Raw genomic sequence first — 27,104 nt, 5'->3', positions numbered from 1 at the left:
TCTTAGAAGCCACCCCGTAAGGTTGAGATGCTGCACAGGAAGACATTAGTGTAATGTCTGGCACACAGAAGCCTCCCAGGAATGTTATTAATACTGAATTCTACTGTATCTACTTTTCTTGAGCAGTGAAGCTTACTTTTTGCTCTTTTAAAAGTAATTTATGCGTGCTGTAAGTAGATTGGAAAATACAGAAAAGTGGGAAAACCAGTTGCAAATCATGTAACTACTCAAAGCGAATCCCTGGGAGAATTTTGGATCATGTCCTTCTTACCTGTTTGTGTGTACGTGCAGTAGTTTCTTGGTTTGCTTTGTAGTTAATTCATAGTTATAATCTTACAGTTTATGTTGTATCTGGCATCCTTTCCCTTTACATAGAGTAAGCGTTTCCCATCAATGTGTACATTCTTTGGGTTTTCTTATTCTATTTAGGAAAAGCTGTCCTAAGGCATTTACATCAGAATTTCATTTCAGTATCAAGAAATGCTAGGCAAATTAGTTGTAACATCTTCCCCCACAGTAGTATTTCCAAAAGATGTACATTCCAATAGATATACTATTTCTCAAATGGTAGTTCAGAGGACTAGCAGCTTTCTAGGTAAATGAATTGAACACTATGTCAATTTTGCCATAGAAGCTTCGAGTGTTATTTTATAACAGAGACATAACAGCTTTTGACCTAGTTTGTTTTCTTTCTCTCCTCAGGACAATATTCCTAGTATTACTGTTTTCTCAATACGCCAGAAATGTTAAATTTCCTCTCCCGATTTATAAATCCAAGAAAGGATGGACTGCGTACAAGTTACAGCTGTTCAAAATGTTCCCTGTGAGTAGCTGACTTCTTCCCCTGCTGACATTTTTGCCCTTGGTTAATATGTAAGATGATTAAGTGAAGGGAGGGTTTTAAGCAGGCCCTCCTTGGGGGATCATATCTGTGCAGTGAGACCAGGCTACTAATGACCACTCAGATCATCATAGACTTAAACATTCTGATTCTGAAATGGGAGCACATCCTTTTAGCAGTGCCGAAGGAAGGGGACACTGTCCTTGGGACTGAGTAAGATTTGACTCCACGTGGCCTCTGCAGGCACGATGTCCATTCTTGTTTTACCAGCCAGACTTTGGAATGGGTAAGATAAGTTCACCTGAATGAAACTGCTCTCTCAGTGAGAGTCCATTCAAGGAAGGTCTGCAAAGTACTGACTGTGGTGGGCTCTGGGGTGTGATATTCCGACCGCGGGAAGACGTGTTTTTTGCCAACACCTGTGAGCCCTGCTGGCCTGACAGAGCTTCCCCTTGACCACTCCAGATCATCCTGGCCATCCTGGTATCCTGGCTGCTCTGCTTCATCTTCACGGTGACAGATGTCTTCCCTCCCGACAGCACAAAGTATGGCTTCTATGCTCGCACAGATGCCAGGCAAGGCGTGCTTCTGGTAGCCCCGTGGTTTAAGGTTCCATACCCATGTAAGTATTCTGATGGCTAGAGGGGTCAAGAGCCCACGAGGGCCCAACTGAGAGGGGTGGGAATTTGGCAGAACAGCCGTCTTTGTCCCAGACTGTCTCCTGAAGGCCTTGCCATTCTGGTCAGGAGAGGATTAGACAGCAAGTAAGGGAGGCCCTGTCCCCAGAGGGCAGAAACCAACACACAGAGACTGACCGGCTCCCTTCTCACATTAGCGAGCTGTCTCTTTTGGATCTGCTAGGATGAAATCCTGGACAAGGGGTCTCTTGCCAGGTTTAAGCTCTGGTGGCCAGGATTTGAGGGCAGCTGCTTAGATAGGCAAGTATAGAGCTGCTTGGTCCCAGAGCTGCCAAAGTGGAAAGATGTGAGTGGGAACAGCCTGGGGATTAGCAAGCAACCTGCTCAAGCATGATGGAATTTATATAATCTCTTAATGGGCAGCCATAATCTTTTAAATTTGGCCACAGCTGTAGAGGTAAGTTGATAGTCACTAATGGCCAAAAGCTGCATCTTAATTTGAGTGTTGTGTAACTGTTGGGGGTGTGAATACATTCCCTAGCTGGGGTGTCACCTGGACTCGCAGCTGGCCCCGTGTAGGTGATCCCAGTGGTTGTTACACACTTGGTTCCATTGTGAAGACTCTAGTCCCGGCGTCTGGGTTTTTATTAGAATTGGAGCCTGAGCTTAGTCAGGTTCAGCCCACTTCTTTCCCTGTGTAACCATCTTATTTTCATTTTTTATAATGACAAGGAGAAAAAGAGAGAAGCCAAGAATTTTAAGGTTGGGTTAAAGATGACTGCTCTGAGCATGTTGAATGATGAGTGTTGGCTGTTCTTTTTGTTCTCAATACACTTAGGAAAGCTTTAAAAAGTTTCGTCTTTCAGGCCGGGCGCGGCGGGACATGCCTGTAACCCCAGCACTTTGGGGAGGCCGAGGCAGGAGGATCACCCGAGGTCAGGAGTTCAAGACCAGCCTGGCCAACATGGTGAAACCCCATCTCTACAAAAATACAAAAATGAGCCAGGCCTGATGACGGGTGTCTGTAATTCCAGCTACTCGGGAGGCTGAGGCAGGAGAATCGCTTGGATCTGGGAGGCGGAGGTTGCAGTGAGTCGAGATTGCGCCACTGCACTTCAGCCTGGGAGACAGAGCAAGACTGTCTCAAAAAAAAAAGTTTCATCTTTCTAAAATAACTTTCTCATCAGATTGTATGGTCTAAGTGTGCATTTATACAGACCTATTCTTTTTCCAAGAAAGAATGTGCATGGTTCATAAACATACCTGTAGTCTGAGATAAAATGAAATTACAATTAGTTGGTGAGGCAGTCAGGGTGAGGGCGAGGCGGGGGTGGCAGGTAGGTAGAAGCCCCCACAGCGTATACAAGGTGGTCTTCTGCTTGTGCAGGCAACTCCCAAGGTGGGCGCCAGTAGGGGCACAAGCTGGGCTGTCCAGGAGAGGCAGCTGTACAGGTGCTGGGGCCAGAGGGAGTTCACTAGGACCCATGGGGCCACACACGAGAAGGCGAAACTTAGTAGACAGAGCGCCTGAGGTTGTGCTGGCCGTGAGCGAGCACGTAGGGCTCCTGGCCTGCCGAGGGCTGGTGGGGTACCAGAGCTCCATAGCTAGAAAGCCACCTCCAGGGATATAGTCGTACTACTGTATACATATGTAGTACTCTCCAGTGCTTTGTCTCAAGCCAGAGAGGGGCTTTTGAATACCTGAGCAGTGCTTTTCAGTCTTTAGTACACTAGGCATGGTCTGGACTGATTGTTAATATAATACAGATTTCTGGTGCAAAATGTCAACAGTGCTGAGGTTGAAAAACCCTGCTGTCAAGTAACAAACTAAATGAAAGTTTCTTGGTAAAAGGAGATATGAAATAACAGATTCAAGAGAGAAGGCTGGAAGCCAACAAGGTCTTTAAGAAAAAAAAATATAGATATAGATATATAGATATATATCTGAAGGAAAAAGGATCAAAATAAGAATCCCCCTTCAAAATCAAGACACTAAACTTGAATGCTACAACCAGAATTCTTGAAACCAGAATGCTACAACAATAACAAGATAACAGTATAAAAGATAATTGAGAAAAAGCAAAATGTTCCTTGGTGAGGAAGGCCTCTGAATGAGGAAAATCCATTCCAAATTAACCTGGAGCTGATACGTTGAGCAGGCCTCTTGCTGGTGGCATAGGGTGTGTCGAGCCCCATCCATCAACCTGCGTACCTTGCACCCCTGACCAAGGGCCGCCTCTGCATCCCCTGGCTGCTCCCACAGAATGAACAAGCCTGAGGCAGGAGCAATTCTGCCCTTAACCGCACTCCAGGCTTATTCTGCACGTCTGACTTTGTATCCTTTCTCTTCCCAATCCAGTGGTTGCTCTAGGCTACCTACAACACAGGCCAAACCCCTCTAGGTGGCTTAGATGGCTTTTGGAACACTTCCAGAACTTGCCTCCTGCCCTGTGCCCTGCATGAGAGCTCTGCGTTCACCAGAACACCCTCAAACCCCACCCTCCAGACCCTCCCGATCCCTGGAGGGGCACCTCCGTTCCCACCTCCTCCTCAGATCCTTCCCTGGCCAGGGCCCGACTTCGCCTTTTCCTGACCACCTCACTGGTGCTTCTTGTGACCCAGCTCAGCTTGCCTCCATTTGAAGTTGAGCAATTTCCCTCTCCCTGGATCTTTTGGAGTGTCCTGTGTCCCCAGCTACGTTGTTGGCTCCTGCATGAGAGACCATGTTTTAGCCATCGTTCTTTTCCCACTGTGCTTTCTGCTCAGTGAGTGTATTATAACTAATGCTTCAACGGAAGAAGGGCTACTCCTTTATCAAAGGAGTCTATTCATTCTCACACGAAAGAGACCCATGCTATTTTTGTTAAGTAAGACCTATGGCTTTCAAGTCCAAATAAATATACTTGTGAAGAAAAAAGTATCTAATGAGGGATTAAGTAAATGCGGAACTTAAAATGAAGTTTCAGTGGGGCCTCACTTTGCTTTCTGAAATGAAACTATTTAATTTCCCATAACATGGTTTATGATATAAAAATAAGGTTCTGGTATTATAGTAGAGAAGGACTGTCCATACCTTATGGATGCTTTACTGTTGGGATTTAAGTTTAGCTGGTGATTTCTCACTGCCTTTTCACTTGATGTCCTCCCCTGGGGAAGGCCACTGCTGCTTTGTACCCTGCTCTGTACAGCAGGGCTATAAATCCCTCATACAAATTTCCCAACGTGGCAGGGCACTTTCAGTTGTTATTTAGTGGATACTGAGTGTGGCTTGGAAGCAGGAAAGAGAAGTTACAGCCTCTTCCAGCCCAACAATGTCTTCTTCTTTTTCTTCTTTTTTTTTTTTGAGATGGAGTCTCGCTCTATCACCCAGGCTGGAGTGCAGTGGCGCAGTCTTGGCTCACTGCAACCTCCGCCTCCTAGGTTCAAGTGATTCTCCTGCCTCAGCCTCCCGAGTAGTTGGAATTACAGGCACATGCCCCCACGCCTGGCTAATTTTTGTATTTTTAGTAGAGATGGGGTTTCACCTTGTTGGCCAGGCTGGTCTCGAACTCCTGACCTCGTGATCTGCCTGCCTCGGCCTCCCAAAGTGCTGGGATTACAGGCGTGAGCCACCGCATCCGGCTACGATGTTTTCTTTTAATTAAAGACACAGTGCACATCAGTCCTCATTATGGCCGCCTTCATCTGACTTAGCAACTGTCCCAGGCATCTGGTGCTTAAGATTTTAAAATGAACAGTTTCCATGAGCTTCAGAATCCAAGTGGATCTTGTAGAGTCTTGCAGCGTTCAGAATGACTTTGGGTAACTGGTCCTGGTCACTTTCGCCTGCCTCTCTAGGAGCATTCATGGTTGTTTTCCTCCCACAGTTCAGTGGGGACTGCCCACCGTGTCTGCGGCCGGTGTCATCGGCATGCTCAGTGCCGTGGTCGCCAGCATCATCGAGTCTATTGGTGACTACTACGCCTGTGCACGGCTGTCCTGTGCCCCACCCCCCCCCATCCACGCAATAAACAGGTACGTTCCTGAGAAGACAAGTTCCTGATTGGTCCCAGCACCTTGTTACTTTGTTCTTAGGTTTACATTACCTTGAAGACAAAACCAAGAGTTTCAGCAGGAGCCCAGCCAAGCAGCAGGACTCTAGCGACTGTTTGATGCATCACCACCTTTGTTTACTTTCGACTGTCTGATACACCACTGCCTTTGTTTACTTTCATTTTCCTCGTCCATGACGTGGAACGGAATTCCTACCCTTCCTTAATTGCAGTGACATCAAATAACACACTCTCTGCGAAACCACTGTAAGCCTTAAATTCAAAAACCACATGCCAAGCACTGCACTTGTTCTTTGCTTTTTTTGGGGTGTGTGTGTGTGTGTGTGTCATTTGGAGATTAGATAGATAAAATCAAAGTAGCTCTGTCTATATATATATATAGAGAGAGAGAGAGAGATAGAGAGCACTACTTTGATTTTCTGTTATCTTGCCTTTCCAACTGTTCTTTTTTTTTTTTTTTTTACACAAACTGAAATTTTTCTTCCCAGCAAAACAAGCTCTTCACTGCTTACAGGTTTTTTTTGTTTTTTTTTTGTTTGTTTGTTTTTAATTTAAAAAGACCCAGGGTCTCACCGTGTTGCCCAGGCTACAGTGCAGTGGCTATTCAGAGGCACAATCGTAATGCACCACACTCTTGAACTCCTGGGCTCAAGCAATCCTCCCACCTCAGCACCTTGAGTAGCTGAGACTGCAGGTGTGCACCACCATACTTGGCTATACAGTGCTATTTCTACATTGCAAAAATTACCTGTTTTTTTCCCTGTTTCCCCACCCAATCTTGGCTGCCACAATCGGACAGACAGAAAGCACAAGGATACCGTTTGCTCTCCCCTGTAGTGGAAACCTTAGCAGCAGGCAGTATGCCCCAGGTCTGTCAATTAGATACGTTCCAATTGTCCCCAAGGGTAAGCACTGTGTAATCTATGCACAGTTACAGTTTATATAAATAGGGACAGGAATAGCAGAAATGAATGAAATCTGTGGGATCTAGGGCTTATGAACTATGGGGTTTATGATTAGCTTTTAGAAGTTGTCAGATGATTGCCCCTGAGGAGTCTGCAGAGAAAAGAAAACAGCCCAGATCCCCTCCTGTTCTCCAGCCAGCTCTGTAACCCCAGAAGGGACTGTGTGTGATGAGATTAATGGACTGGGCCTTGGCTCTGGTACCTGATGTCCCCATCTTTCTCTAATGGAGCTGCTGCACATGATTAAATACCTGTATATCAGTATGTTTAAAAGTGTCAGTACTTATGAAATTATAAAACATTTCCTTCCTGATGAAACTGGATTTTAAGAGTAAAGGATCACATCAATGTTTTATTTCCATAGACGGCCCATGTTTGTCTTATACCCCAACAAATGGCTTTATTTTCTGGCTAAAATCCTTTGCTTTCATTTGCGGTGATTTAAAAACACTCAAATCTAACGTGTGATTTAGAGATGTGCTTCTCAAAATGGAATGAGCTTTGGGGGTTCTGTTAAAATGCAGATTCTGGCCGGGCACAGTGGCTCACGCCTGTAATCCCAACATTTTGGGAGGCTGAGGCAGGCGGATCACCCTGAGGTCAGGAATTCCACACCAGCCTGGCCACATGGTGAAACCCCGTCTCTACTAAAAATACAAAAATTAGCCAGGCATGGTGGTGCAAACCTGTAATCCCAGCTACTCGGGAGGCAGGAGAATCTCTTGAACCCAGGAGGTGGAGGTTGCAGTGAGCCAAGATCGCGTCACTGCATTCCAGCCTAGGTGACGGAGTGAGACACTCTCTAAAAAAAAAAAAAAAAAAAAAAAAAATGCAGATTCTTTTCTGCTTCAGCAGGTCTGGGGTGGGGTCTGAGATTGTATTTTTAATCGCCCTCCCAGCTCCCAGGAGATGTGGAAGCTGCAGGCTCTGGACCACATTTTTGGATTGTAGATGTGTAGAGGCTATTTCAGAGTGAATGCATTATCCCATTGAATGATTTTCTTTCCTCCATTCCTTTACATCTTAGGGGAATTTTCGTGGAAGGCCTCTCCTGTGTTCTTGATGGCATATTTGGTACTGGGAATGGCTCTACTTCATCCAGTCCCAACATTGGAGTTTTGGGAATTACAAAGGTACACAGATTTTTCTAATTAAATGATTGGGTTTCTAAGCATTGGTCCATTTCATTGATCGATCTGGCCACTGCAAGTTCCAAATGGGCGGGCCTCTGGTTCTAAAAAATTACTTCTCTCCTTTTTTTTTTTTTTTTTTTTTTTAAGTGTTTATAATGCCTGTTTGGAAGTCTCTCTTCTCTTGCTGGTCCGGGTAGGGAGGCACTCAGTGCTGTCATTCCATCATGCAGTATAGATATTTATAAAGCACTGACTCTGCCAGGCCACTGTTCAAGGCACTTGGGATACATCAGTGAATTAAAAAGTGGAGTTTACATTCTAGCAATCAACAATCAGCATACTAAGTCCATAAATGATGCATTATGTCAGCCAGTGACAAGTACTGGGGGAAACATGGGACAGGAAGCTTGGGGAGAGGGTGATCAGGTGACCTGAACACAGACCTGAAGGGTGGAGGGAGGGAGCCTGCAAATAACCTGGGGGAGAGCGTTCCAGGCCAGGGTGTGGCCAGGGCCGAGCCCTATCCTGGAAGTGGAAGGTCAGCAAGGAGGCCAGTGCGGGTCAGGGAGTCAGAGCAGGTGGGGTCTGCCGGGTAACTGGGGAGCAGGTTACACAGGCAGGCAGGTAGGTAGGCAGCCACAGACTGCCTGAGTGGAAGGGAGTGCTGCAGGGAGCAGCTTGGTCAGATTTTTTTTTTTTTTTTTTTTTTTTTAGGGATCGCTTTGACTGCAGTGATGAGAATAGACCATGGGGGGCTGGGCAAAAGGTAGAAATGGGATCCCAACTGGGAGGTGTCACTAGTTTTAAATTAAGAGATGACCCACCATTGGCCATGGTATGTTGTGAAACTAAGACCATGAAAATTGGTTCACCATCCTCGATGGCCTACGTCTCACAGGTCTCCCTCACTGAGGACTTGGGGTGAGCCCGGAAACCTTCTAGAACTGGTTGACCTCTGTCAAATTGGGAGGGAGGAGTGGATTTCAAAAGAGCTCTCCTTTGCCATGTAAGATTCTATAATCAGATAAAGAGAAACCAGATACTAAGTTTGATTAACCTTGATTGCAAATCCAGGTGAGAGGGAGCTGCCAGGCAGGCACACACATGCCTGGTTTGTTTGTTGGTTTCCCCAGGTTGGCAGGGCCCTGCCAGAGCTCAGCCTGAGGTGTGCCAATGGCCCCATCTGCCTGTTGCTCCCTGTATGGGGGATGTGAGGGAAGGTTGTCTGAGGGGCGCTTCCTCTAGCGCCATCCTGGAGGTCCTTTTGCTACCCATGGTGAGAAGCCAGTGCTGAGCACAGGGAGATGAGGGAAGGATCTCATGGGCACAGAATGGGGCCTAAGCCATGCCACTCTTCAGCCAGTTTGCTGCCATGAGCTTGCAGGCATATAACTAATCCCAAATCTCAAATAAGATAGCCGGCCCTCTGTATCTGTGGGTTCTACCAACTTCAATTCAAAAATATTGTTTCTGAACTAATATTGTTTGTTTCTGTACTGTTCTGGGTGAGCATGTACAAACTTTTTGTTGTCATTATTCTCTGAACAATGCAGTCTGACAACGATTTACAGAGCAATTACATTGTATTAAGGATTGTAAGTAATGTCGAGATGATTTAAAGTATATGGGAGGATATTGGCTGGGTACGGTGGCTCACACCTGTAATCCCAGCAGTTTGGGAGGCCGAGGTGGGCAGATCACCTGAGGTCAGGAGTTCGAGACCAGCCTGGCCAACATGTTGAACCCCTGTCTCCACTAAAAACACAAAAATTAGCCAGGCTTGGTGGCTGGTGCCCATAGTCCCAGCCACTTGGGAAGCTGAGGCAGGAGAGTCACTTGAACCCAGGACGCAGAGGTTGCAGTGAGCTGAGATCATGCCACTGCACTCCAGCCTGGGTGACAGAGCGAGACTCTGACTCCAAAATAAAAAATAAAAAAAAATATATAAATAAAATAAAGTATATTGGAGGATGTGTGTAGGCTACATGCAAATACTACACCATTTTATATCAGGGAGTTAAGCGTCTGTGGTTGTTGGTATCTGAGGCGGGGAGAGTGGCGGTCCTGGAACTAATTCAAGGTTCCCTAGGGACGACTGTAGGAGTAAAATTGTTGTAGATGAAGGGAATCTTAGGGGAAGATGGTGTAACAAGCCTCCTCCTTCTGCACCCCTTTAAAACACATCATCATATAATGTGGCCACCAAGGTAGTTTGGGAAATCATTCCTTTTATTAAAATTTGAATGGTGCTAGCTTACTCTGACAAGTTACCTTGCCAGCACTTTTTAATGAGCTGATGTATCCCAAGTGCCTAGAACAGTAGCCTGGCAGAGCGGGTGCTTCATAAATATCTATATTGCATGAAGGAATGATGGCACCTGAGTGCCTCCCTACCTGGACCAGCAAGGTCCATCATTATCGTTATTATCATTATTGCTATTTACCCCTTAGTTTATTTCTAGGAACAGAGCAAGTACTATCTCGCTGGCCGTCAGATCTCTTTGTTGGTGTCCAGAGGAAGGTCATTTCTCCTTGCTGCATTCTGCACCACCGTTGAAGACTTTGTAAATCCAGAAACCCAGGGTCTATTTTACCAAGGTCCTAGAGGCAGAGCCACAGTTCAGGAGGGAGGTGCCAAGGAGATTCCAGGGAATGGACCCTGTGAGAGGGGAAGCAAAGGTCCTGGGGAAGCACCGGGAAGGCTGGGATTTTAGGGCTCTATCTCTGGTAGTTAGAATAAAACATAATAGGTACTTGGTCAATATTCATTGAACACAAGAATGGCTTAGTTGCTGCATATATTGTTGACAGCATCAAAGGCAGATCAGTCTTCTGGATGTCACTTTGCTACCAGATTTAGTTTCAGGTATCCCTGGGGCCAGTTTGGCCCTTCATACCTAACAGGCCTGCCCGACCCTGCCAGGAGTCTTTGCATAGGCTGTTTCCTCTGCCTGGATGCTCTTCCACTAGCGAACTCTTACTCACCCCTCAGGACCATCTCCAACAACCCTCCCCAACTCTTCAGATTTTCTCTTCCCTGCTGCTGGGCTCCCCCAACAGCAGAACAGCATAGCAGTGAGATTATTTGATCAAGCTTGTGACTTATTCATCTTTGCATTCACCTGTCCCAGTCTAACAAGTCACAAGCTTGATCAAATAATTACATAGTTCCTCGAAAATGTTTGCTGAAGATAGGGCCATTAGTAAATGAAAGCCTTCCTTATTCCATAGTAACAGCCAAGCATGAGTCGCTTTTGCTTGATTTGTCAGTTTGAGTGATCTTTTCCATTGCTTCCCTGCCGTCTGTGGTGTGGGGCAGGCTAGGGACAGTGAGACAGTGACTGAGTCCAGCTGGGCAGCCATCTCTCATGTGCACAGCCTCAGATCAGGCTCTGATGCGTAACTGGCTGACCCTGGTCCTTTGAGGGTTCTGTGCAGTGGTCAACATGTCACACACAGCTGCACCAGCCACGTGTGCCTGGTGGGCACTTGAGATGTGGCCGGTGTACGTGAGGAATTGCGTTTAAAATTTTGTCTCATTTTACTTAATTAAAATTGAAGCAACCCTCTTCTCCTCACTGGGGTCATACATAAATCCTTGTGGATACTCCCCCAAACACTCTGGAACCTCCTTTACCCAGTTTACATCCTTAGGGTGTTTTCCTGCAAGAGGCAGCACAGAGTAGGGGCCCATAGTGCAGGATTCCTGAGCCTGATGCCAGCACCACCTCTCACGTGTGGTGCCGGGAACCCAGGGGATAGGCAGGGGCAAAGTGTGGCCTTTGCGTTGAGACACAGAGGGCCATCCCAACCCATGACTGGTGACAGCAGGCTAGACAGAAGCTGCTGGGAGGCAGAGATCAGGAGTAGCAGATATGCCCTACATGGTGCTATGAGAGCCTATAATGGGGGAATAGTCCTGGAGTTGGGATGCTTTTCAGAGGAGCATTTGGGTGATGTTTAAAAGGATGCATCTAGGATCTGGCTAGGAGGGAACCACAGGGAAGGGTGTCCAGGTAGACAGGCCCAGGCCTGCCTGGTGTGCTTGGAAAGAGCCTGAGAAGTGGGCTTTATTTCATGAGTACCAGAGGATGCAAGCAGGGGACCAGCCTCCCCAATTTCATGTGTTAGAAAGGTGACCCCGTGGCCCCATGGAATGGGTGCAGGAAAGGCCAGTGGCAGCAGGCCCATGTGGGCGGCTCTCAGATGGCTCAGTGCGTGCCAGCTACCATTCAGGCAGTTTTATGCAGGTCCCGTTTAATCCTCAAAACAAAACCACGAGGCTTGTGTGTGACTGAGATGAAGATCCTGAGACTCTAGAGGCTACGGGTCGGCCCGACCATACAGTCAGACGTGGGCCAGGAGAAGAGCCCGCAGTCAGGCTCCAGATGTCCTCATCCGTAGCCCCTTCTCTTTTCCACCTCTCACGGGAAGCGTGCCGTGAGGAGAGGAGGTTCCAGACATGTCTGGGGGTTTGGTCTGATTTCCGGTGTGGGGAAGTTGGCATTGAGGCTGAAGCACTTTGGGGGAAATTGCCTTGGTGACATGTGGTGCCGGGAACCCAGGGGATAGGCAGGGGCAAAGTGTGGCCTTTGCATTTGAGACACAGACGGCCATCCCAACCCATGACTGTGCCAGGGCAGTAGAGCCCTGAGGCCTGAGTGCAGGGAGTGTCACCAAGGCTTGGAGATGCAGAGGGCGGCCCTCAGGGTCCCCACAGTGGAGGTGAGAAGAGTGGGCTGAGGAGGAGGTGAAGGTAGCGAGCCAGGCCATGGGTATCTCTGCTGTGTGTTCTTTAGTAACTTACGGTGATTTTGCATGGAGATGAGTCCCTGTTTCCCAGTCTCCTGTGTGTTCTGCAGGTCGGCAGCCGCCGCGTGATACAGTGCGGAGCAGCCCTCATGCTCGCTCTGGGCATGATCGGGAAGTTCAGCGCCCTCTTTGCGTCCCTTCCGGATCCTGTGCTGGGAGCCCTGTTCTGCACGCTCTTTGGTAAGACTCCCCTCTCTGGCTTTTTCCTTTACTTTTCCAAATTTTTAATAGGGGTCATGGTGTTTTTGCTGACTCCCTTCAGTAAGAAGGTAACGATAAATTTCTATTTTAAAATACAAAGGATATGCCTTCAAAAAATGAAAACTTTTATCACTCTCTGAGTTGAATTTATATTAAATATGGAACCAACAATAAGATGTAATTGTGCTATGAACATTTCAATTAAATTTAATCTCTTTAGTATTTCTGACCAATTTAACTCAAATACCATCCCTCTGAATGGGCTACTTAAAACTGACCATTTTGACAGTGGGACTCTGGGTTTGATCTCTGCACCATTTAGCTGTAATAACCAGAGACATGCACCAGATATTTAGGTAGGTCTCCCTGTTTAATCAAAATGTTTGTGTAGAGAGAGAACCAATGTCCTTAGTTTTCTATTTGACAAACAAAATGCCACATGGTGTTTATGCTCCCGTAGGAGCCCAAATAGCGCGTACGCCGAGGGTCATTTGGCTCAGAGCGCAGGGTGGCTACAGTCTGACCCCACACGTCCCCCTTCCTGTCCCTGCACTGGTCTCATTGGTTTCTGTTGGACAGAGAAGGGGTGCCAGGGAGCCTGCCCTCACCTGCCTTGAGCTGTCCCCGCTGTAGTGGTGCTGGAGCTTGTGGTCTGGTTTGTTTTTCTCCAGGAATGATCACAGCTGTTGGCCTCTCTAACCTGCAGTTCATTGATTTAAATTCTTCCCGGAACCTCTTTGTGCTTGGATTTTCGATCTTCTTTGGGCTCGTCCTTCCAAGTTACCTCAGACAGAACCCTCTGGTCACAGGTGAGGAAATGGGCTTTACATCTTGGAGTGGGAGCTGGAACCACAGCCGCCAGTCCACACGCAGCTCTTTGCCCATTGGAGAGGACTTTGGGCCTCCAGGAGCTGTGGTGCAGATGCGTCTGTGGATCTCTCTTGAATCTCACTTTTCAATACTTACCTGGAAGCGCTGTGGGCTTCCTGCTGGCGTGTACACATAACAGTCATGGATGCTAAGGTCTCTTTTTCACTGGGACCCTCTCCTTTGGGAGAATGCCTCTCTCTAAATGCTTTTGATTTCATTAGTCTATCTTAATAGACTAATGCTCCATTAAGATAATTTTTTTTTGAAACTCAACTTCATAGACTTTGAACACGTTATTCTACTATTTGATGTCTATCCTATTAACTCCTCAGAGCAAAATCACGTGGCTTGTGCATTCAAGATTAACCTTTTTAACTCCTCCTTTTGTTTTAACACTGCAATGTCCTGAGGAATGTAGAAAGGAAGAACCGTCTCAAGACATAGCCATTGCTACTGGTAATATCTTAGCCAGTGCAGAATTGAGGAGTGTTTGTTTATACATATATTTTTTGTGGGTGAAATTCACATAACAAAATTAACTACTTTAAGCAGTTCAATGGCATCTAGTACAGTGTTGTGCAGCCATCACCTCTGTCCAGTTTCCAAAACATTTCATTACCCCAAAATAAAACCCCAAACTCATTAAGCAGTAAATCCCCATCACCGCCTGCTCCCACCCGCTGGCAGCCACCGGTGTGCTTTCTGTTTCTATGGATTCACGGTCTATTCTAGGTATAAATAGAGTCATAATATGTGGCTTTTTGTATCTGGCTTCCTTCACTTAGCATGTTTTCAAGATTCATCCATGTTGTAGCATGTAGCAGTACTTCATTCCTTTTTTTGAGATGGAGTCTTGCTTTGTCGCTCAGGCTGGAGTGCAGGCCTGGGCATGATCTCAGCTCACTGCAACCTCCGCCTCCTGGGTTCAAGCGATTCTCCTGCCTCAGCCTCCCAAGTAGCTGGGATAATAGGCACCCACCACCACACCCGGTCAATTTTTGTATTTTTAGTAGAGACGGGGTTTCACCATGTTGGCCAGGCTAGTCTTGAACTCCTGACCTCAAGTGATCCACCTGCATTGGCCTCCCAAAGTGTTGGGATTACAGGCGTGAGCCACTGTGCCCAGCCTCATTCCTTTTTTATGACTAGATAATGTTCCTTTGTGTGTATATACCATAAATTGTTTATCGATTCATCCATTGATGGACATTTGGGTTGTTTCCGCCCTTTGGCTATTGTGAATATTGATGTGCAAGTACAATCAGTTCTCATTATTCATGAAGTTATGTTTCGTAGAGTTGCCACAAGCAGTATTAGCAAATACTGAACCATTGCTGGGGAAAGACAGTCAGCAATGCCACAGCTCATGCCTGGATGGATCTTCTTTAACACACACCATAGCCGCCTTATGTGTAGAAACGTCAGGGAGCACTTCACACCACTTGGACATTTTAAACAGTGAGATCACCAACGGAAAGCACACGGTATGACAGACATGGCACTACATAGTCCGCAAAAAGGACTCTTGTTTACAGGATGAGGCCAGAACAAGGCAGAGCGTCAGCTTATTTGACATCAGTCAGGAATGTATGTGGCGTGGCTCAGATTTTTCACTGCTCTGTATACCCATGAAGGCACCAAGGGTATTCATTTTGGGTTTACAAATACATTTTAGTGTATGGGCAATTTCACAAACACGTAATTCATGAATAATCAATGTGGGCCATATTTGAGTACTTGTTTTCATTTCTCCTGGGTATATACCTAAGAGTGGAATAATTGGGTCATGTGGTAATTCTATTTTTAACCTTTTGAGGAACTGCCAAACTTTTTCATGGCGGCTGCACCATTTTACTATCCCATTAGCCATGTACGAGGGTTTCTGTTTCTCCACATCCTCACCAGTGCCTATGATTTTCTGTTGAGGATTATTCTATCTTCCGGATGGAAAGTGTGTGGATAAATGAGATTCTTGCTGTTTTTTACATTTAATATGTCATATTCATGGGAGGACATCTTTATAAATCCAGTTGCCCCTGATTAAAAGCAGCTAAGCACTAATTGATAACCCAGGATACTGAAAAGTCTTCTATGACTGCAGGTGCCAGAAATATTTTTGTCATCTTATTATTCACTTTGTAATTTTTTCTCAGCCTTATGACTACCATTTTTTTTTATTTAGAATTTTTTTTATCCACCGACTACACCCCTGTGGCTTCACAGTTCGTTGTAGGGTGAACACCACTCTTAGATTCATCTTCTATGCACCACTGTTGGGAATTCTCCTTATGGAGATACCTTTGGATTATTGTTGAAAGTATTCATCGTAGTTTAAAACATTACTGGCAAAAATTCATCTACATGTGCACAACTAAGAAATGTACACTTTCCTTTCCTGCTTTGATTGGCGGAGTTCTGCCCACACCATTGCCCCTTCCCAAGTCAAGGGCAGGCTCACCGCTGCTGTGGCACTGATCGTTTATGGCTGTGTTCTCTTTCTAGGGATAACAGGAATCGATCAAGTGTTGAACGTCCTTCTCACAACTGCTATGTTTGTAGGGGGCTGTGTGGCTTTTATCCTGGATAACACCATCCCAGGTACGTGGTATATATCAAACACACTTTTTTTTTTTTTATTTTTTAACATATGTGTTACTTTTTTTGCCAAATAGAAATGGAAAACGGGAAGAGTAAATGAGTTCAAAGCCATCACTGGTTATAACTGTTTTCTAAAACAGTTGTGATGGCACTCCCAGCCTCCATGTATGAATCAGTTTTTTGCTACATAAACTGATTAATTTTGTTTCTCGTGCTGAAGGACTTTTGGGAGACAGCAGCTGAGTTCGCTGCGTTTGGTGAGATGGCAGTGGGATGGGCACAGGCCAGGCTCCTGTCCCCCTGCACAGCCTGTGCCAAAGGCCCTGCAGTGTGGGTTTCATCTGATCTGAGAGAGGTGGGCACAGCCCGTGGCACTTCTGCTTGGGGAGACTGTCCCTTAAATGAGTTGTTCCTAAGGTGGGCTTCCAGCCAACTAAGACCAGAAGGCAGTAGAAGACCATGGGCAAAGGCTGAGATCAGGGGTCCAGGATCATTGACAAGAGATGCCTGGAGGCAGCTGCCTCTCCAATACCCATGATCCCTGTTTATGGATACATTCTGTGCTGAGCTTGGGATGACAGACTAGGATGTTATGTGGGTCCTGCCTTGGCGGTGGCTGCTGTGGGCCACTGTAAAGTGCTGCCATGGACATACTGGCAGATTTCCCTGCCTTCAAGGAAGGGTGATACTTATTCTTAGGCTCAAAGGTTTTGTTGAGATTTTCCCCTTTAAACAACCCATCTCCAAAAAAAATAAAAAACCTCAATCAAGAGATTGCTGGGGAAACCAAGGCAGAAGGAATCACACACACAAATAGATGGAAGGCACTGGATTTAAGAGTCCATAACGACTACTCTCTTTCTCTCCTAAGCCAGAGGGAATTGAGAGAGGGATGCAACAGTCAGGCTGATGGAAATTAAAGTCAGCTTTATTTCTGAAATACTGATGAGAGAGCAGAGCTTAGATATAAAAAAAAGTCATGAGCTTCCTTGCTGAGCCCTGTGTGCTCAGAGCTTCCTCCCTGACCCATCTGTCAGGGTGCAGAGTGGCCAGGAGTGTCCAACCGGTGGATGTTCATCCCCGCAGAAGCACAACAGGTACATGACCTGTGTGTCCCCCATAGCACCAGACACGCTAAAATGGAGCAAAGCAGCATGAAGTGTGGGTCTGTCTAGATGGGGGGGTGAATGTGCAGTGACTGGTTGATGAAGGCATTGTGTGATACAATAAAGATTCAGCCCTGTTTTGCAAACTCAGATTTGCATTTTAAAGAGGTTTTTTTTTGACTCAGATTTACATTTTACAGAGTTTGTTTTGTGTGTTTTGTTGTTTGTTTTGTTTTGTTTTGTTTTGTTTTTAAGACAGAGTCTTGCTCTGTTGCCCAGGCTAGAGTGCAATGGCATGATCTCAGCTCACTGCAGTCTCTGCCTCTCGGGTTCAAGCAATTCTCCTGTCTCAGCCTCCTGAGTAGTTAAGATTACAGGCATGCACCACCACGCCCAGCTAATTTTTGTATTTTGAGTGGGGACGGGATTTCACCATGTTGGCTAGGCTGGTCTCGAACTCCTGACTTCATGTGATCCTCTCACCTCGGCCTCCCAAAGTGCTTGGATTACAGGTGTGAGCCACCACACCTGGCCTAGAGAGGTAGTTTTTGAGCAGACCTGGGGCAGGAGGTGATGAGCCAGAAGACTAGGTAACCAGATGGGAGACCGATAGAATGAACCAGGAAAGCAATAACATGGCCTGAGCTGGGCCCTAACAGTGAAAATTGAGAATATGGGTCACATAGAAGGATAGGGAGGTCAGAAGGTCATTAGGTGATTGCTTGAATGAGGACATGGAGGGGTTAGTGCTTCTTAGACTTCTGGTTTGGGCACTGGATAGCTGAGCACCTTCACCTCCTCAAGTATTCTTTGCTGTTATCTAGGCAGGTTTGATCTGTGGGACCATGTGTGTGTGTGTGTGTGTGTGTGTGTGTGTGTGTGTGTGTGTGTGTGTGTGTATGTGTTTGACGACAGTTTCATTTTCAGTAGAGCTGCTAAACGAAGCATTCCTTTGTTCTATCTTGGGATGTGTGACAGGCACTCCAGAGGAAAGAGGAATCCGGAAATGGAAGAAGGGTGTGGGCAAAGGGAACAAATCACTCGACGGCATGGAGTCGTACAATTTGCCATTTGGCATGAACATTATAAAAAAATACAGATGCTTCAGCTACTTACCCATCAGCCCAACCTTTGTGGGCTACACATGGAAAGGCCTCAGGAAGAGCGACAACAGCCGGAGTTCAGATGAAGACTCCCAGGCCACGGGATAGCCTTTGCTGTGCCCTGTGGCCTGGCCGCAGTGAGGCATGTATCTGTAGTTCCTTGCTGAGTAACAAGAAGTAAAATACATGTTTGTATATCTACATTTACATTCTGCGCCCCAGAGCTAAGACAGACTGCGAATCACTTTTCTGCTGTGAGGGTGATGGTGCCTGATGCGGTGTCTCGCCTATCTCCTTATTTAAGCCCTTAACTCCTTGCCCTTTGAGAGTGTCCATTGCTGGCCATGGTCACTAAATTTGAAGTTCCAGTCCTCCCTTTGGAGTGGACATTTAAAATCTGCAGCCATTCCTTGCTTCAGTTCCCTTCCACCACCCAGGGCTGGCTTTCCTATAAGCCACCTCCAGGGTCCAGGGGCTTTCTCTCTCTCTCCGAAGCCCCTGGACCTGTTTCCTTGTCATTTGACCCTCGTCTGTGCCCGCGGAGACCTCCTCTGACCAAGGGGCACTAGTATGCCTTGCGCTATCATGACTGACTGGCCCAGTATGATTCTGTTGTCGCTGATCTCCCGGAGGAGGAGGCTGTTGACCTGAAAACAGTGGCGTGGCTCCCCTGTGCCCAGATCTGGCCATGGGTGAGGCCTGCACAGATGTTGAATGAACATCTGTTTGGGGCATTGGAGGGAAAAGGAAAGGACCCTGAAGCCAATATCTGATTCTCGGCTGCACCTTCTCTTGGCCACCCTGGCCCTGACCGGGCCAGCACGTGCACACTGGCCTCTTTTCATTTCACTAGTGGCCGAGACACCCTCTCTGGCATTTATCACTGTTGGCCGGTGTGATGAGTATAGAGTGCCACCCAAGGCACCAGTCACACAAGCTGATGGGCGTCTTGGCTCTGCCGTCATGTGGATGTTATTGTCGCGCGCGTCTATAATTACAAGGTTTTATTCCTATTTAATGTTATTGACTATAGCAGATTTTGGAAATCAGTGTTTTCCATGTGACCCTCTTTCCTTGCATCCCTATTCCTTGTCCCCCACCCACTCTTCCCCCCATCAAGAAAAGAACCAGCATTTGTAAAGCTGTGGACACCATCAGGGAAGCTTGTTGTAACGGCTTTTGAAGGCCAGTAACCATTGTTGTGGTTGTGTTTTGTATTGCTTGATACCATGAAAGTGTAAATACTGTAATGCCTAATCTATTTATCAAAACTGACTACTGGACCGGAGCCCAGAAACCATGGGTCAAGTTACACGTGAATTTGTTTTGTGAAGAAGGGAAGCTGGGGCAGGTAACACGCAGAGCCGCCACGTGGAACGGTCTGTCCGCCGGTCTGTCCCGCTTGCCGGGCTTCTGTTGCAAGTCTTGGCTTAAGGAGACTTCCTGTGGGTTGCCATGTCGCACGTCCGTTAGATCTTGATTTTACAGGTGAGGGTGGTTGCCAAAGGTGATAAGAAAAGCAGCCAACAGGCTCCCTCTCACTTAAGAGAGTTCTAATTAATAACACTAAATTCTTCCTGAGAAATGACTCCTCTTGGTTTGGTTTGAAGTTTTTCAGTGAAGGAAAAGGCCTGAGATAGGAAGCAGTGCCCTCGCTTCATGAGGTGGCACATCTTCGGTGGCCGTTGGCCTGGTCGAGCTTTGGTCAGCTGCGTGGGTGCCTGTCTCCTGTCTCCAGCGGCAGGGCATGGTTCTTGGCAGCCTGGTGTCCACACGGTGCATTCCTGTCCCCCTCGGCCCCAGGCTGGCTCAGCTCTCCAGTGCTGCGGCGCTGTCTTTGCAGCATTGCCATGTCACCGTAGCCCCCTTCACTCTTGGAAGTTTGGGGCTTCAAGGTTTATTCTGGCAAGAACACCTCGGAGCCACTGCATTGTTTTGCCAAAAACTTACTGCAGATTAAGTAAAGAACTTAGATGCTAAATTACATCTAATTTTGTATGTTTTTTTAAATGTGTCTTTGATGCATACTTTAGAAGCACACTGGCTCGCGGTTTCCATCCCTCTTGCCTTGGGACACTCTTGAGGCTGGCAGCCCTCCTGCAATGAGTTGCTCTCAGTTCCTTCTGTTTGGATTTTGCTCAACATCTCCAGTTTCTCTGCTCTGAAAAATGGGGAAAACTGCTAAACATCCCAGAGATTTGCAATCTTCTAGCTCTCCAGGTGAGCAGAAAGACCAAATATCCAAATAAAAGCCTGAAAGCCATTGGTGATCCAGGGGCACCTTCTCTTCAGCTTGACTGGGCGTCTTCCGCTGCATAACACTCAAGGTGTCTGCTCTAGTCATCCAGAAACCCACTCCCTTCTGAAGCCCCTCCTTGGGCCGGGTTGTATCAGGAGGATTCAACCCCGCTAACATGTGGGGTGCCCTCTGTAGGCCTTCACACAGGGAAGGAAGCCCTACCCTTTCAACTCCTGTTGGAGTGAGAGTTTCCTGTTCTGATTCCACTGTGGCCAACCCAATAATTCTGTCCGAGGAGGGGTAAGGGAATAGGAGGTGGGGAGCAAAGAGGGCAGCCTGACTAGATGCCCCTGCTGAATCTGGTACTTTCTGCACAGCCTTGAGTGATTGGAGTCCCCTAATGACTAATAAACTTGAACATGTAACACACACACACACACACACACACACCATTTTAGGAAGTGGTTCTCCTACTGGAAAATATGCTACAGAATGAAAGTTTGTAATTGAAAGAAAAAGAATGTATTCATCTGCTTCTTGGGTTTAAGCACACACCTGAAGGGGAGATATTGGGGGACACGGTGGCCACTCGCGGTCTGTGTCATGACACTTCCCATTCACATCATTGGCCTGCGTTGCTGGGGCTTTGAACCACCACCCCGTACTTTGTTTTGCCTGTAGAGTGTTGTAAAATATTTTGGATGTGAATGTCCTTGCAGGCCGGTTAGTCTCCAGTTTCCACAGAGACCACCTACCCACCACCTTCCCAGGTCACCTGCCTGGTCCCTGAAAGAAAGCATTTGTGTGGGCAATCCCAACATGAAATGTAGACAGCGTGAATACGGACAGGAGGTGATGCCATATTCACAGTGGGGGATGGAGGGCCCCCACCCCTGCTTCACAGAATAATGGGAAGTGACTCTAGTCTTTGTAAGCAATTTTCATTCTCATTAGGAAGTTAAATGTAGATTCACAGATACATTTACTTTCAGAATCCTCAAGAGGATTTCAAATGCTAACTTTTAGTTTCTTGGGATTGATCAAGGCAAGAGAAGTGGCTTTAACCATGCCAGCCAGAATGAAGCATCATGGGTCCTGATGGTTTCCCGTTTTCATGGTAACAAATTCGCACAGAGGTTTTGCTTTATGCTGTAGAATACCGACTTTCATGATGACAACTTGGTTTATGCATGAATATTGCAGTATTTCCATATAGCAAAATAACATTTCTACCCAGGATAATAGTCACAGTTTTCCAGGGAGGGAATGATATAATTTTCATGACAATGTCATGTGATGATAGAATTTCTCCATTGATGAATCTCTAGTATGTGTGTATACTTTATTTACCCATACGTATATTTTATGACCATGAGCTAAGTTGTTATTTCTTTCATTCATATCCCTGCTGAAATATTGGTACTAGCAACTTAAAGTTGGCAAGTCTCATCTTCAGTAATACGGATGCCATGGGAGTGGCCAGGCCAGATTGAAGGTGAATATGGAGCAGTAGCAGAAGCCTCATTCCAGAACCCATCTGGCCAGAGAAGCAGCAGCATCCTGGGGGATGGCCGTGCATGGGGTGTACACTCGCTATAGGCATAGGCCCGGCATGGCTGTCGCTGGACGCCAGCTGTGCACACCCAGCCACACCTGCTGCACGCCGCGTTAGTGTGCGGCTCCGGGCCTGAGCATTCGCAAAGCTCGCTTCTCCAGGGAGCCTCCTCTTGGCTTTGGAAAAGAGCCCAGGGACTTAACGTGCTGCCTGTTGTACTCTGTCCCCTCATGACTTTTTAGACACAGGGACTAGGACATCGACCACCCTCTGCCCCTCCTGCAGTCAGAACCCGAGTAGTGCAAGAACGGCCACCCGGTTTTGCCAGCGTTCAGCGTCTGCCCATGGACCCATAAGGCACATTAGCGTTGGGGGTCTCTTTTCAGCAGCCTCACAGACATTCCCGTCCTTTCTGGTTGGTGTTGACTGTGTTTCAGCATCACTCTACCCTCCCATGTCCTTAGCATTGCTGTGCGTGTTTCCAGGCACTTAGGACACCCTTCCCCACGTTGCCATCTTACTGACAGTTCAAATGACTCTCCTTTTTTGTTCGTTAGTAACAATCTTCATTTGACACCTTAATACATTTCTGACTGTTCTTAAAACAGTGGGGATGCCTATATTTTCCTTGAGTTTTTGTGACTGACTTTGGCTATATATACCTTTCTGGGGTTTTGTTTGTTTTTTATTTTTATTTTGATTACCGAGGGTATTTGGGGTGGGGTTGTTTTTTGAGATGTGTAATTCTTTTATGGAGTTTTTAAAAAGAATTTTCATATTGTTTTTCTAACATGGCTTCATTAAACGTTTAAGTATTTTAAAAATATGTAATATTTGGACCAGATGTTGTGAATAATAGTAGAGATAAAGCTATTTTATTCTGTATTTTTAAAACTGTTCCGTACAAATAAAAGCTCTCCTGGACACAGTTTTGCTCTTCACGTGCCTCCTTCTTGGGCTACTCTTTAAGAAAAGAGTCATCCCTCAGAATCTGTAGGGGATTGGTTCCAAGACCTCCTCGGATACCAAAATCCGAGACTACTCAAGTCCCTGATATAAAATGGCATAGTGGGTCAGGCACAGCGGCTCACCCATGTAATCTCAGCACTTTGAGAGGCCAAGGCGGGAGAATTGCTTGAGGCCAGGAGTTCGAGACCAGCCTAGGCAACATAGTGAAACCCGCCCCCCCCGCCCCGCCCCTTCACTAAAAAAAATTAGGCACACATGGTGGTGAACGCCTGTGGTCCCAGCTACTTAGGAGGCTGAGGTGGGAGGATTGCTTGAGCCCAGGAGTTCAAGACTGCGGTGAGCCGTGTTCGCACCACTGGACCCCAGGCGAGGTGACAGAGTAAGACTGTCTCAAAAACATAAAATGGTGTTGTGGATTTTGGTGTAGTGTATGTGTACATGGATATGGTGTAGTGTATAGATTTGGATATAATCTATGCATATCTTCCTGTATTCTTTAAATCATCTCTAGAGGACTTATAATATCAAATACAATATAAAGGCTATGTAATACTTGTTACACTGTATTGTTTCTATATTTGCATTTTTATTGTGTTGTTTTTATTGTTTTTTATTTTCAATCCTCGGTTGAATCCAAGGATACAGAAGCCTCAGGTACAGAAAGCCGATGGTAATTAATTAAAAGTTGTCACCTAGGGGAGGAAATCAACGGATAAGAAATTCAATTCAACAAGTTCATGAGCGTTATCATTGTCAGGTGCCTGGCAGACTGATCAATGAAAGCTACAGGAAAGGGACAATCAGTCCTCGTTCCCAGAGAACCAGAGATTGGGCAGGACTCTTGCGAGGATGTGGAAGGAGGAAGTAAAGTCTCAGAGGCCTCAAAAAGTTAGAGAGTGCACCCATGTTGGACTTAGGGGGTGAAATTCTGAGTCTGTTATTACAGTAACACATCTGGAGGTGGAAGACATTTTGGGAGTGGTGACCAGAGAGGGTCTCACCAGCCATGCCCACTTTCAGGCTGAGTATTCAGACTGGGTCAGGAAATGCTGAGCTGTGGGGGACTGAGAGCAGCTCCATTCTGTCCTCAGCGTGGCTCCCTGGTGGGGTATAATGATGGGTCCAGAGGTGATTAGATGTGTTTTTTCACTTAGGGCAAGCTTGTCCAACCCACGGCCCACAGGCCACATGCGACCCAGGATGGCTTTGAAAGCTGCCCAACACAAATTCTTAAACTTTCTTAAAACATTGAGATTTTTTGTGATTTTTTTTTTTTCTTGAGACGGAGTTTTGCTCTTGTTGCCCAGGCTGGAGTGCAATTGCACAATCTTGTCTCACTGCAATCTCCGCCTCCCAGGTTCAAGCAATTCTCCTGCCTCAGCCTCCCAAGTAGGTGGGATTACAGGCATGCACCACCATGCCCGGCTAATTTTTTGTATTTAGTAGAGATGGAGTTTCACCGTGTTGGTCAGGCTGGTTTCAAACTCCTGACCTCAGGTGATTCACCCGCCTCAGCCTCCCAAAGTGCTGGGATTACAGGCGTAAGCTAACAAGCCTGGCCGATTTTTTTTTTTTTTTTGGCTCATCAGCTGATGTTAGTGTATTTCATGTGAGGCCCAAGACAGTATTCCAGTGTGGCCTAGGGAAGCCAAAAGATTGGACACCCCAGGTTTAGGGCAAACCTAGAACTACCCCATTCCCATCTCAACCCGTGGTTCTTCTCTGGCCCATTGAGCTATGACTGTCCACTGCAGCCGCTCCTGTAAGACCTGCAGCCAGCTGCCACCATTCCCAATATCCTGACCTATGAACCGCTGCTGGCGAGTTCATCACAAGGGGGATTATTTTACCTGAAGTTAGGTACATGCAAAAGATTTTGTAAGGTATTTAAAAAGTAAGGAGTACCCATGTTTCCACCCCCGGCTCCGACCACAGCATATTAACAGTGCTTCAGGCCAGGCGCGGTGGCTCAACGCCTGTAATCCGAGCACTTTGGGAGGCCGAGGCGGGTGCATCACGAGGTCAGGAGATCGAGACCATCCTGGCTAACACGGTGAAACACCATCTCTACTAAAAATACAAAAAATTAGCCGGGCGTGGTGGCGGGCGCCTGTAGTCCCAGCTACTCGGGAGGCTGAGGCAGGAGAATGGCGTGAACCCAGGAGGCAGAGCTTGCAGTGAGCCGAGATCGTGCCACTGCACTCCAGCCTGGGCTACAGATCGAGACTCCTTCTCAAAACAAACAAACAAACAAACAGTGCTTCAGACACCCCACCCCTCGGGACCCTTCTCCTACTGCATCTTCATCCCCATCAAGAGAGCTGCTACCCTAAATTTTGAATTTATCCTGTCCTTGCCTTCACAATTTTGCCACATAACAGCACCCCCAAGTAATCTATTAAGTTTTGCATGGTTTTGAACATGATGTAAAAGGAATGAGATACATGTTGTCATGCTTTATTCAGTGTTATGAGATACTTTTATGTTGATACATCTCTTTAATGTAGTGCATTTCATTTTCATTACTGGGTAGTAAAATTTAAGATGAACGAAGACAACATTCTGAAAGCTTCCAGAGAGAATGAACAGAATCAAAACCTCAAGAGCTCTGATCCAATAAGCCTTGGATTTTTCAGCAGCATTTTTTAAGAACTGAAGGAAAAGAACTTTGAACTTAGAATGTTATGTCTAGCCACTTGAATGCCCACATTTTAATATTTTTGGGTAAAATACTTCAACAAACCTAGGAAGTGCTGTAGGAGATAACTGAAGGGAAGATGAGCAAGAAATATTTGGTAAGCCTGGTCACTGGAAATAAGCCAGGACCACAGGAAAGAAAAAAGAAATATCCATAATATTACAGTGTAATTGGAGGCCCTATCACTGTGGTGTTGGAAAGAGGACATATAGATGTGAGTTCTAGAAACAGGCCTAAATATACCAATAACAATAAATGAACCAAACTCATTAGTTAAATGATTGTCAGATTAAATGTCAAACCAAAATCCTGATATGTCCTTTTTATAACACTGGTGTTCCAAAGTGTGGTCTTGGACTGTTAAAGACTGCCATAATATATGTTCAGAAATTGAGTCTTAGCAACTTTATAAAAGTTTCTAAGCAATTTGACAGTCATTTTATGTGTGCTGACTGTAATACTAAAATACCTGGGCTTATTTTTTGCTTTTTTTTTTTTTTTTTTTTTTTTTTGAGATAGGTTCTTATTCCATTGCCTAGGCTGGAGTGCAGTGGCGCAATCTCAGCTCACTGCAGCCTTGACCTGGGCTCTCGTGATCCTCTCACCTCAGTCTCCCTGGTAGCTGGGATTACAGGCACATGCCACCATGCCTGGCTACTTTTTTTTTTTTTTTTTTTTTTTTTTTTTTTTGGGTAGAGATAGGGTTTCTCCATGTTGCCCAGGCTGGTCTTGAACTCCTTAGCCCAAGCGATCTGTCCACTTCAGCCTCCCAAAGTGCTGAGATTACAGACATGAGCAACCATGCCCAACATTATCTTTAATTCCATGGTTTATTTTTAAAAATATTTTACAAAAGTCTGTGATAAGTCAGGAAAAGCAAAAAACAACTGATCTCTACAAAAAATTGAAAAAGTAGCTGGGCATGGTGGTGCATGCCTGTGGTCCCAGCTATTCGGGAGGCTGAGGTGGGAGGATCACCTGAGTCTGGGAGGTTGAGGCTGCATTGAGCCAAGATCCCGCCGCTACAGTCCAGCCTGGGTGACAAAGAAAGACCCTGTCCTAAAAAAATAAATAAATAAACACATACTTCCCGTTGTGTTACAATTGCCTACAGCAGCGGTACCCAACCTTTTTGGCACCAGGGACCGGTTTCGTGGAAGACAATTTTTTCCATGGATTTGCGGGGTGGGAGGATGGATGGTTTCAGGATGAAACTGCTCCACCTCAGATCATCAGACATTAGTCAGATTCTCATAAGGAGCCACAGCCTAGATCCCTCGCACACGCAGTTCACAATAGGGTTCATGCTCCTATGTACTCTATG

At 46.3% G+C, this 27,104-nt stretch overlaps 1 protein-coding gene across 2 annotated transcripts in view; it reads left to right on the top strand.

Annotated features, from left to right (window-relative positions):
- SLC23A2 (solute carrier family 23 member 2) overlaps positions 1-23,041 on the top strand; it is a 157,956-nt gene extending 134,915 nt beyond the window's left edge. For both annotated transcript variants that reach the window (NM_203327.2, NM_005116.6), the window contains exons 10-17: positions 703-823; positions 1,307-1,463; positions 5,346-5,493; positions 7,524-7,629; positions 12,492-12,621; positions 13,314-13,451; positions 16,015-16,110; positions 18,195-23,041. In NM_203327.2, coding sequence (NP_976072.1) covers positions 703-823; positions 1,307-1,463; positions 5,346-5,493; positions 7,524-7,629; positions 12,492-12,621; positions 13,314-13,451; positions 16,015-16,110; positions 18,195-18,427 — 1,129 coding nt within the window. In that variant the 3' untranslated portion in view covers positions 18,428-23,041. The remainder of the gene's footprint in view (positions 1-702; positions 824-1,306; positions 1,464-5,345; positions 5,494-7,523; positions 7,630-12,491; positions 12,622-13,313; positions 13,452-16,014; positions 16,111-18,194) is intronic.

This window comes from Homo sapiens, chromosome 20 (genome assembly GCF_000001405.40).
Source record: "Homo sapiens chromosome 20, GRCh38.p14 Primary Assembly".
Lineage (NCBI taxonomy): Eukaryota > Metazoa > Chordata > Mammalia > Primates > Hominidae > Homo > Homo sapiens.
This window is presented reverse-complemented; position numbering and strand designations above follow the sequence as displayed.